Source organism: Homo sapiens, chromosome 19 (genome assembly GCF_000001405.40).
Source record: "Homo sapiens chromosome 19, GRCh38.p14 Primary Assembly".
NCBI lineage: Eukaryota > Metazoa > Chordata > Mammalia > Primates > Hominidae > Homo > Homo sapiens.
The window spans coordinates 7,903,806-7,914,681 of NC_000019.10; the positions used below are offsets into that span (position 1 = coordinate 7,903,806).

General features: G+C 63.2%; 1 protein-coding gene across 4 annotated transcripts, besides 3 other annotated features; it reads left to right on the top strand.

Moving 5' to 3' along the window:
- On the top strand, nucleotides 72-10,673 carry MAP2K7 (mitogen-activated protein kinase kinase 7). Of its 4 annotated transcripts, none has more exons than XM_006722800.3 (12): nucleotides 72-263; nucleotides 2,003-2,050; nucleotides 5,950-6,091; nucleotides 6,258-6,324; nucleotides 6,455-6,568; nucleotides 6,648-6,767; nucleotides 6,891-6,998; nucleotides 7,175-7,354; nucleotides 7,445-7,525; nucleotides 7,610-7,773; nucleotides 8,344-8,389; nucleotides 8,492-10,673. In XM_006722800.3, the coding sequence occupies exons 1-12, from the start codon at nucleotides 140-142 to the stop codon at nucleotides 8,624-8,626; spliced, it is 1,329 nt and encodes a 442-aa protein (XP_006722863.1). In that variant the 5' UTR covers nucleotides 72-139; the 3' UTR covers nucleotides 8,627-10,673. The 4 variants fall into 4 exon arrangements, with proteins under 4 accessions (XP_006722863.1, NP_001284484.1, NP_001284485.1 ...); NM_001297555.2 differs by having other exon boundaries at nucleotides 7,631-7,773; NM_001297556.2 differs by lacking the exon at nucleotides 2,003-2,050.
- Nucleotides 284-633: a silencer, noted in NCBI's record as "silent region_9995". NCBI's record gives its function as "represses an Ori minimal core promoter by ATAC-STARR-seq in GM12878 lymphoblastoid cells {active_cell/tissue: GM12878}" and the evidence as "EXISTENCE:reporter gene assay evidence [ECO:0000049][PMID:35858748]".
- Nucleotides 284-1,114: a biological region, named in NCBI's record as "H3K27ac-H3K4me1 hESC enhancer GRCh37_chr19:7969265-7969804".
- Nucleotides 575-1,114: an enhancer, noted in NCBI's record as "H3K27ac-H3K4me1 hESC enhancer chr19:7969265-7969804 (GRCh37/hg19 assembly coordinates)". NCBI's record gives its function as "activates a minimal SCP1, AML or CMV promoter by ChIP-STARR-seq in naive H9 embryonic stem cells {active_cell/tissue: H9 hESC(naive)}" and the evidence as "EXISTENCE:reporter gene assay evidence [ECO:0000049][PMID:30033119]".

Below are 10,876 nucleotides of genomic sequence, written 5' to 3' on the forward strand. Positions count from 1 at the left end.
GGGTGCGCGCCGCGGGCATGCGCGGTGCGGGGCGAGACGGCGGCTCGACGGGGTCATCCGGGCGCAGGCGCAGTGCGGTGTTTGTCTGCCGGACTGACGGGCGGCCGGGCGGTGCGCGGCGGCGGTGGCGGCGGGGAAGATGGCGGCGTCCTCCCTGGAACAGAAGCTGTCCCGCCTGGAAGCAAAGCTGAAGCAGGAGAACCGGGAGGCCCGGCGGAGGATCGACCTCAACCTGGATATCAGCCCCCAGCGGCCCAGGCCCAGTAAGCACGGCGGCGTGGGGGAGGGGGCGGGCGGGCGGGGCGGGGCGCGCGCCGCGGGAGGCCCCGCCCCCACCACAAGGCCCCGCCCCCGCTTCCGGGGCGCTCGCTCTCCTCTCCGCCCCCCCCGCTGCGGGCTCGCGGGGCGAGGGTCACGGTGACCCGGGGGGCGTGGAGCCGGCGAGCTCCGGGGGGTTCGCACCCTCAGGGCTTGGGAGCCCAGTTCCCGGACCCAGGCGAGGCCCCCAGCTGATGACCCGCCCCCATCGCCGTGATCCTCTGGGTCGGGCTTCCCCGACTCCACGCGACAGTGACCACATCCAGGTCGCCCCGAAAACACAGACACGTCCCTGTTGACCTGATGCTACCACTCTCGTCATCTCAGGGACTGTCTGGCGCCCCCCTCCCCCGGCCTGGGGGCTTGTCAGCCCCGTGCAGCGACGATCTACGCACACGCGCACGCCTGGCTCGGGGACACCTGAGGTTACTTGACCACATAGAGCCCCTCCCCATCTCTTCTGACCCGAGGATTCTCCCTCTCGCTCTCCCTGTGACCGTGTCTGAGGTGGGGGGACGGGAGGGGGTCCCTTCTCCCCCTCTTGGCGACAGTGACCATGGCATTGGGCTCAGCAGACCCCCTCCCACATACACCAGGCCCCGCAAATCCCTGTGACCAGTTTCACTGCCACCATCTTGGTGAGCGTGTGGTGTCTGACCTCCAGAAATGCACATCGACCCCCAGCCAGCCCGGTGACTTTGTCACCTGTGTTCAAGTGATGGCTCCCCTTCCCTTCACACCCACACCCACCTGACCTGGGGACACCTGGGGCCAGTGTGACTCTAGGCCTGCTCCCGCCGCGCCCCAGCATACATCCACCTGCTTTCTGATCAGTCCCACCACCTCGGTACCTACCTCCCTGACACCTTGTCATCCTAGATCAGTACCTCTCGCTTCACACACACCTGGCCTGGGAACACTGACCATATCTAGTCTCCCGGCTTTTTCCCCAAGATCCTGGTCTCTAAATCCTCTGGGCTGGAGGAAATTAGATTTTCAAACCCTGTGAACACCACCCCTGACCCATGATCCTTTTTGTGTCTTTCTTGACCCAGTAAAATTCTCTCTTGTCTCCTCTGATGTGACCTTCGTAGTTTATTTAGTTCTCTCTATGGAGTCATTATGGCAGGCGAGAAAGGTACCCCCGTATCTGGGCACCCCACCCATTCCCTGGTCACCCAGCCTGACCTTCACAGCCTGACACCCTCCTGTCCCTCCCTCTCCTGACCTGAGTCAGCGTGGGTTCCTCCTTGGGGAGTCTCTTGGGGGTCCAGAGAAATCATGGAGGTGGGGATTCTGGTGCAGGACACTGCCTGAGACAAGAAGCCCAGCCAAGACACGGGTCCCTGCTAGCCCCTGGGGGCCGCCCTCCCTGGCCCCTGAGTGGATGAGACAGGGTTGAGTCCAGGATCCCGGGTGCCTTCAGGGGTGGCCGTTCCCATGCAGAGCTAGGAGGCCGGTGGCAGGCAGGCCCCCGAGGAGTCCCCTCCAGGCGTCTCTGTCTGTGTCAACTCCATCCCATCCTCCCCGCCCTCCCCATCTCTGTCGGTTCCTAGCCATCTCTGCAGTTCGGTGCCTCCCCCTCCTCCTCGTTTATGATTTGATTTCTTTTCTTTTGGACGAATCAGTCGTTTCTGTTGTGATTTATCGTGGTGTTGTTTTTTTCTTCCTTTTCCCCATCCAGTTATTGTGATCACTCTAAGCCCTGCTCCTGCCCCGTCCCAACGAGCAGGTACCAGCCTTTTTATCATCGCTGCTTGGACATCTGCACCATTGACCTAACCGCTGCCCCGGCCGCAGAATGGCGTCCCCCAGCCCCCATGCTCTGTGTGTGTCCCCATGTCCCTTCCCCTCACTCTCACTTTCTCTCTCACTCCACTCAAGCAGCGGTCAGCCCAGCCCAGCCTCCTCTGCGTCCTCCCTCCTCCTCCCCCTCCCTTACTCCCAGCTCCACTTTGGACTCCCTGGAGGAGGAGGTGGGCTCCCCCACTGAATGGGAGTCTGTGGCCTCCGGGGGTGGGGGGGGTGCACGCCTGTGTGTGTGTAACTGAGAGAACGAGAAAGTTGGGCCTGGTGGGTGGGTGGCCTGTGCCTATGGATCTCTCTCAACAACTAGGTGAACACATAGCACCCCCCGGGTTCCATACCAGCCCTGGGCGCCAGGGACACAGCAGTGAATAGAACAGATGGAGCCCCTCTCCTCTGTAGCGGGGGGCTGCAATAGGGGGGCCCACTGGACAAGGAGCACATTCCCACCAGAGAGAACATTCTAGCTGGGTGAGCGGCCCTGCAGGGGGCCAGCCTGGGGGAACCTCTGGAGACGGTGGGAATTGAACAAAGCCTCTGGGGAGGCCAGGCACGGTGGCTCACACCTGTGATCCCAACACTCGGGGAGGTTGAGGCTACAGGGAGCCATGATCACACCACTGCACCCCAGCCTGGGTGACAGCGAGATCCTGTCTCAAAAATTTAAAAACTGGGCCAGGCGCAGTGGCTCATGCCTGTAATTTCAGTACTTTGGGAGGCCAAGGAGGGTGGATCACTTGAGGTCAGGAGTTCGAGACCAGCCTGGCCAACATGGTGAAACCCTGTCTGCATTAAAAATACTAGAGATTAGGCCAGGCACAGTGACTCACACCTGTAATTCCAGCACTTTGGGAGACCGAGGCGGGTGGCTCACCTGAGGTCGGGAGTTCGAGACCACCCTGACCAACATAGAGAAACCCCGTCTCCACTAAAAATACAAAATTAGCCGGGCATGGTGGCACATACCTGTAATCCCAGCTACTCGGGAGGCTGTAATCCTAGCTACTCGGGAGGCTGAGGCAGGAGAACCGCTTGAACCCGGGAGGCGGAGATTGCAGTGAGCTGAGATCGCACCATTGCACTTCAGCCTGGGCAACAAGAGCAAAACTCCATCTCAAAAAAAAAAAAAACATAAAAGATTAGGTGGAGGTTGCAGTGAGCTGAGATCGCGCCACTGCATTCCAGCCTGGGCAACAGAGCAAGACTCCGTCTCAAAAAAAAAAAAAATTTAAAAAGCGTCTTGAAGGAGTTGGGGGGGGAGAGAAGACAGGGCCGCCAGGGCTCTGAGCGCAGCGCCAGCCTGTGTGGGGCATGCAGGCTGTGCCCCACGCCTGTGTTGGGAGAGAGAGTAGATGGGGTGCCTGGCCCTGTGAGTGGTTGTGAGTATGTGTGTCCGAGGGCAAGGGGGACTCTGTCCCGGCTGCATGGGTGTTAGGTCCACGGCATGCCCCGGGTGTGTGTTGTGCGTGCGTGCACTTGCACGGCATGTGCGTGCATGTTGACATGGCAGCCGGTGCACCTGTGGCTCCTGTCGGCAGACACGTGCCCTCCAGCCTCTCGCTCTCTCTCATCCGTTCTCTTTCTCATCCTCACCCTCTTGCTCTCACTCCACCCTCCTGAGCTGCCATGTGGCCATCACCACCTCTGTGGCCTCTGTTCTCAGGGCCTTTGTGTACCTCCTTCCCCCAGTGCCTACCTGAACCCTCCCTTCCATCCCCCCATGCTCCAGTCTGTGGTCCGGCAGCCTCCTCCCCAGGCTCCGGGGCCACCCTCGGAAGGCCTGGTGGGCTCTGTCAGGGAAGGGGCCCACAGGACTCCTCGAGGGCTGTGGTCGTCAACCGCTGAGTGCAGGGTGTGAGCGGGACTCGGATACTCTCTGAGGGCGGGAACTAGGCAGTGTCTCAAGAGATGCCAGGTGCACAGGGGTTGGGGGCTGGGTTGGGGGGAGCACAGGCCCTCGGGAGCCAGAAGGGGACTGGGGCTGTGGCTCAGGCCATGGACAGAGCAGAGGCGCAGGGACCTGAAGAAGCAGAGGGAGAAGCCTGGCCAACATAGCGAGACCCCATCTCTACTCAAAAGACAAAAATTAGCTGGGTGTGGTGGCGTGTACCTATAATCCCAGCTACTCAGGAGGCTGAGGCAGGAGAATCACTTGAACCTGGGAGGGGGATGTTGCAGTGAGTTGAGATCACGCCACTGCACTCCAGCCTGGGTGACAGAGCGAGAACCTATCTCAAAAAAAAAAAAAAACAGTGGGAGGTGACGTGGTGCTGCAGAGGCGGCAGTGGCCAGGACAGCGGGAGGGGCACGGGAGGTGAGGCCTCTAGGCCAGTCATGAACGCTGGGCCTGGCTGTGTCCCAAGGTCCCCAGAGCCCTTCCCCTGCTCCTGCCTGGTCCTCCAGGAGGGGAGCTAGGGGGCACAGCTCCTGCAGGGGCTGGCAGGACCAGATAGGGGCAATGCTGGGCCTCCTGCATTGGGACTGAGGCGTCTTCCTGCCCCTCCTACTGGCTGAGATCAGGGTCCTGGGCACACGGGAGGGACGGGGTTTAGCTGCCAGCATGGAGCGGGTTTGTCTGTTCATATTAGTCCCTGGGCACCAGTCACCAGGAGCCTGCAGAACTGTGGGGAGAAAAGGTGGACGAGGCAGGAGGAAAAGAGGGGAGAGGGGCTTGTTGGCTGAGGGCTTTGGAGAGCGGCAGGCCCCAGCTCCTGTGGGAGGGGCACCTTGGTAGGTGTGTGTAGCCGTTGTCAGGGCCTCTAGGATGTGACGTGTCAGGATTGGCTCCTCTGGAGGCCACGTTAGCATCCCGGCCTCTGTTCCTGCACCCTGTTGCCAGCCCAGCCAGGGAGACCCTAGCTCCTCCGGGAAGCTGCCCTCCTGTCCCAGGCCCCTCTCTGGCCTGTCTCTGCAGCGCCTCCTCTGGGCACCTGGGCCCTAGTCTTGGTTCCTGTCTGTCTGTCTGTCTCCTGCCCTCCCACCCCTAATGCCGCCTGCCCACCCCAGGGTGCCTGCTGCCTGCCCGCCGCCTGCCCACCCGCTGTAGCATGCCCGAGCTGCCCGCATGCAGGCTGCTGGATGAGCCAACCCCCGCCTGGCCCAGCATTGGCCCCACCTGGTCCCGCCAGCCCCTGCAGGAGCTGTGCCCCCGAGCTCTCCTCCCAGAGGATGCAGGCCCCCTGAGGTCCTGTCCTGCCCCCATGGGCCCCAGCTCTGCAGGCCAGGCCAGGAGGCCCTCATGTCAGCCCACTGGCCCGAGGGGGGCCCTCCCTGACCCCGGAACAGAAGATAGGGCAAGGCAGCCTGAAGCCTGGGTCTCGTGCCCGCTGCCTCCCCAGCGTGGCCCTGCTCGCTCTTGTCTGGGAGCCAACTTCAGTGCTACCAGCAGAGCCACAGCCTGGGCCAGCCCTGGCAGGCACTCCGCCCTGGCCTATCCATCCTGTGGGTGCTGTGGCCCTGGGCCTGCTTCCTGGGCAGAAGTGGGAGGAAGTGCACACACCTGTCAGGGAGGCCCCCTGGCCGAGGGACACCTCAGGTCCCCATCTCGTTTCTCCGTCAGCGTAGACTTGGGGCTCCCTCTCCCCTGCTAGCCTCCTCCATCTCTTTCCAGGTCAGGGGATGAGACAAGGGACCCTGAGAACAGTCTGGGGTGGGAGGGAGACCCCAGCTCCTCCAGCCCAGCAGGGCAGGGGGCTGTGCCAGCCTAGCTCGGGAAACCCAGGAGGGGAAGGTGAGGGTCCCGACCCCTCCCTGGAGTGCCAGATGTGGAGCTGACACCAGCTGGGCGCTGACCCCCCTCCCTGCCACTGGTTCTCACCCCCCTAGCCCTGCAGCTCCCGCTGGCCAACGATGGGGGCAGCCGCTCGCCATCCTCAGAGAGCTCCCCGCAGCACCCCACGCCCCCCGCCCGGCCCCGCCACATGCTGGGGCTCCCGTCAACCCTGTTCACACCCCGCAGCATGGAGAGGTGAGCCAGGGGCCCAGCAGGGTTGGGTGGGAAGCAGCATTGAGGGGCCACCGTGCCAGCCCTGGGAGGAGGGTGGTTAAACCGGTGGGAACCCCGGTATGGGGGACTGGGGTGGCCAACCTAAGGTCAGGACCCACCTCCACCGGCACCTGCTCCATGTCCCCAGCATTGAGATTGACCAGAAGCTGCAGGAGATCATGAAGCAGACGGGCTACCTGACCATCGGGGGCCAGGTACCACCTTCACTGTGGCGGGGAGAGGGAGGAGGCCCAGCCAGGCTGGACCCATCCTGGGAGCGCCAGTGGGGGGCAGGGGGCGGTGGCAGAGGCCCCAGGGACCCTCCAACCCTCCCTCTCCTCCCAGCGCTACCAGGCAGAAATCAACGACCTGGAGAACTTGGGCGAGATGGGCAGCGGCACCTGCGGCCAGGTGTGGAAGATGCGCTTCCGGAAGACCGGCCACGTCATTGCCGTTAAGGTGAGCCTTGGCGGCTACCCCGGCTGCGCCCCACACCCCAGGCCGGTGCTGAGGCTCCCTCCTGTCCCTGCCTGTGCAGCAAATGCGGCGCTCCGGGAACAAGGAGGAGAACAAGCGCATCCTCATGGACCTGGATGTGGTGCTGAAGAGCCACGACTGCCCCTACATCGTGCAGTGCTTTGGGACGTTCATCACCAACGTGAGTACCTGGCCGCGCCCTGCAGCGTCTCCTCCTCCCTCACCCCTGCCCCTTCCTAGGGAGCAGAGCCTCTGGGGGGTGGGCCGGAAGACACAGCTCCCCCGGGTGCCCCTCTCCCTGCAGACGGACGTCTTCATCGCCATGGAGCTCATGGGCACCTGCGCTGAGAAGCTCAAGAAGCGGATGCAGGGCCCCATCCCCGAGCGCATTCTGGGCAAGATGACAGTGGCGGTGAGTGACCAGGCGGGGCTTGCACTGGGCAGGATGACAGAGGCGGTGAGTGACCAGGCGGGGCGTGCACTGGGCAAGATGACAGTGGCGGTGAGTGGCCAGGTGGGGCGTGCACCGGGCAGGTGGCCTTGGGTCTGTGCCCCCTGCCACATGCACCCCCCTCTGCGTGCCTGCAGATTGTGAAGGCGCTGTACTACCTGAAGGAGAAGCACGGTGTCATCCACCGCGACGTCAAGCCCTCCAACATCCTGCTGGACGAGCGGGGCCAGATCAAGCTCTGCGACTTCGGCATCAGCGGCCGCCTGGTGGACTCCAAAGCCAAGACGCGGAGCGCCGGCTGTGCCGCCTACATGGCAGTGAGTGGGGGCCCCCCAGCGGGGGAGGGGGTGGGGGCTGGGAGGCCGGCCCCAGCCTTGGAGATACGTCTTCTCCTCCCCCCCCTGCAGCCCGAGCGCATTGACCCCCCAGACCCCACCAAGCCGGACTATGACATCCGGGCCGACGTATGGAGCCTGGGCATCTCGTTGGTGAGTTGGGGCCCTCCCCTGTTCTCCAGCCAGGAGTGAGGGCTTCTGGGGGACTCGGAGGGAGGAGAACATAAACCTGTCCAGCCCTGCCCGTCTCCCTCCCAGGTGGAGCTGGCAACAGGACAGTTTCCCTACAAGAACTGCAAGACGGACTTTGAGGTCCTCACCAAAGTCCTACAGGAAGAGCCCCCGCTTCTGCCCGGACACATGGGCTTCTCGGGGGACTTCCAGTCCTTCGTCAAAGACTGGTGAGAACCTCCCTCCACTTGGGAGGTCAGGGACAGCCCGCTGCTCTGGGCAGCTGGGGAGGCAATGGCAGGAGGGGAATGGAGGCCGCACCCTGGGATGGGCGGATGCGACTGTGGGCGGGCTCCTGGCTGGCGGCTGCCACAGGAGCTGGAGCTGGTGCCCAGGGAGCCATGAGCTGGGTTTGGACCTAGCCTGAGGGGACAGCCAGCCCTGTGGCATTTGGCGGGGTGGCTGTTGGAGATTGTGAGCACGCTTCTGCAACAAGCACAGCTACAAGTTCAGGAGGGCCATGTTCGATTCTCTCAGGGGAGCCCCACCCACCTTTCTGGGGGACCTCAGCCAGCTCTGGCCCCCCAAGCCAGGCCCTTGCCACCTGGCCCTAGGCCAGGAGGCTCCGGGACTCACAGTTGCTCCCCGCTGTCAGCCGGGGTCCTGAGGACATCCACAGCTCCTTCCCCCACACACATCTTGGGGACCCCTGGCCCCTTGGGGAGGGCCTGAGCACAGGGGTGGGGCCGGCATCCCCTCCTCCCTCGTTCTCACATCTGTCTTCCCTTCTCTTGCTCTAGCCTTACTAAAGATCACAGGAAGAGACCAAAGTATAATAAGCTACTTGTGAGTACCTGAGCCCTCCCAGTCCCCGTCCTGTCCCTGCGGAGGCGCGAGGCCAGGAGGGAAGACCGTCTCCTCCTAAGCCCCACCCCCTCGGGCCCACAGGAACACAGCTTCATCAAGCGCTACGAGACGCTGGAGGTGGACGTGGCGTCCTGGTTCAAGGATGTCATGGCGAAGACTGAGTCACCGCGGACTAGCGGCGTCCTGAGCCAGCCCCACCTGCCCTTCTTCAGGTAGCTGCTTGGCGGCGGCCAGCCCCACAGGGGGCCAGGGGCATGGCCACAGGCCCCCCTCCCCACTTGGCCACCCAGCTGCCTGCCAGGGGAGACCTGGGACCTGGACGGCCACCTAGGACTGAGGACAGAGAGTGGGGGGTGCCCACCCACCCCCCCCGCCCCGGGCCTACCAAGCCCCCGCCCTTCCCACCCCGGGGTCAGCCGGCCGTGTGCGTCCCCCGACAGACACTGTGAACGGAAGACAGCAGGCCGCGATCAGAGTCGCTGTTCATTCAGCCGCAGCCTCTGGGCCGGGGCGGCCCCCAGGGGCCAGGAGAGAGCCCTGGAGTCCCGCAGCCACCATGCACGCTCCCAGCGTGCTGTGTCCTTCGCCACTCCCACGCGCCCGTTCCTCTTCCGTCGCCCTCTGTCCCCTGCTCTACCTCTCTGTCCTTGTCTGGCTCTCCCGTCACCCTCCCTGCCTCTGTCTCTCTTCTGGCCTGAGCCTGGGCCCAGCCACCTCCTGACGGGTCCCCTGGGTCTGCATAGGTCTCCCATGGCGCAATGAGTCAGTGGCCCCCAGCCAGGCAGTGTGGGCATTGCCACTGCGGCTGGACGGGGCTGCGCGCTCGCGCTCTCTCTCTCTCTCTCTCTCTCTCTTTGATCTCAGGGGGTCCTTTTTGGAGTTTATTGTATTTTATTGTACTTGGTGGGGTGTTTGGGGTGGGGGCGGAGGAGAGCTTGTTCTCGTGGGGTTGTCGGTACCTTCAGAAACTTTTACCAAAGTCACGATTAGCTGCTTGTGGTGGGGCCCCAACCGCCCTCGGGCACTGGGGAGCTGGGCTGGGGCTGCTGCTCTGGGGTCTCCGGGGGCCACAGCTTGGGGTGAGTTGAAGACCTCAGGGGATGTGGAGGGGTCTGCGGGGCCCTGGCCGCACAGGATGGCCTTCAGGGAAGGTGGTCTTGGGGCATGGTGCAGAGCAGGTGACCGGAGGGAATCGGTGACGGAGCGGGGCCAAGGGAGGGGTCCGGAGGGAGTCAGGGATGGAGGGCAGAGGGAGTGGATGTGGGGGTTTGAGGACGTGTGACAAGCTCCAGCAGGGGTGGGGGCCGGGCTGAGGGTGGGGGTGCGAGGTGGTCACTCCCATCGTGCCCCTGGCCGTCCCTCCACTCACCCACACCTGGCCCAGTCCACGTTGAGGTCCAGGACTGGGAAGGACCGGGTGAGTGCACCGGGGACCCAGGCCAGGTGCCCCCCGGAGCCTGCTGGGGTGGCCAGAGCAGGAGGGGGTGTGTTTCCTTTTTGTGGGTGTTGCATGCAAATCAAGTGGACAAGAAAAAATAACAAAACAAAAAACAAGAAAAAAAAAACACAAAACCCCGTAAAATCACAAAGAAAATCCAACACCAAAGGCGCAGAAGCCGGCTGGCCGTGGTGGGGGCAGCGTAGGCGTAGCATCCCTCTCCTCTCACTTAGCCTGTTGACTCTTGTTATTATCATGATATTCACAAAACGCCGCATGTTTAAAAAGTCATAGATGTCATCTTCTCTCTGCCCCCAGGGAGGAAAGCCACCTTCTCTTGCCCCTTGGCCCCTTTGTCAGGGGCCAGGGGTCTGCCGGGTGGGGGTGCCAACAGGCCTGGCCCTTTCCTCCCCTGCATCCAGCCATGGGGGCCTCTGCGATTGCCGGAAGGTTGCATGGCTGGTCCCAGGGCCAGCACAGGCCCGAGGCCGGGCTGCCTGGTTTTATTTTTATTTAACTTTATTTTCTGTTTTATGAGTGTGTGTCCGCCCACCCCCACCCCCTTCAGTGTTAAGTGGGGAGCCCTGGGGGAGTCTCTCCTGCCTCCCAGCCTCTCCCAAGACCTCCCCCCTCGTCACCAGCCATCCCTCTGGACCAGGCAGAGGGCGGACCGGGTGGGCAGGGGCCTGAGGGTGGCTCGGGCCAGCCCACCAGCCAATGGACCCCTCCTCAGGCCGCCAGTGTCGCCCTGCCCCTTTTTAAAACAAAATGCCCTCGTTTGTAAACCCTTAGACGCTTGAGAATAAACCCCTTCCTTTTCTTCCACCGAGTCTGTGGTGTGTCATGGGCCTGGCAGGGCGAGGTGGGAAGGGGGTGGTTGCGGGGGGAGGTTTCTGCATTGAGGGGAGACTGAGGCAGGTTTGGGAGCTAGACGGGAGGTGTTTGTAGTGACTTGCCGATGGGTATCAAGCAGCTGGTGTAAGGGACCCCCTGCCCCCAGTGGCCACAGGTCGGGCAGCAGAGGATCC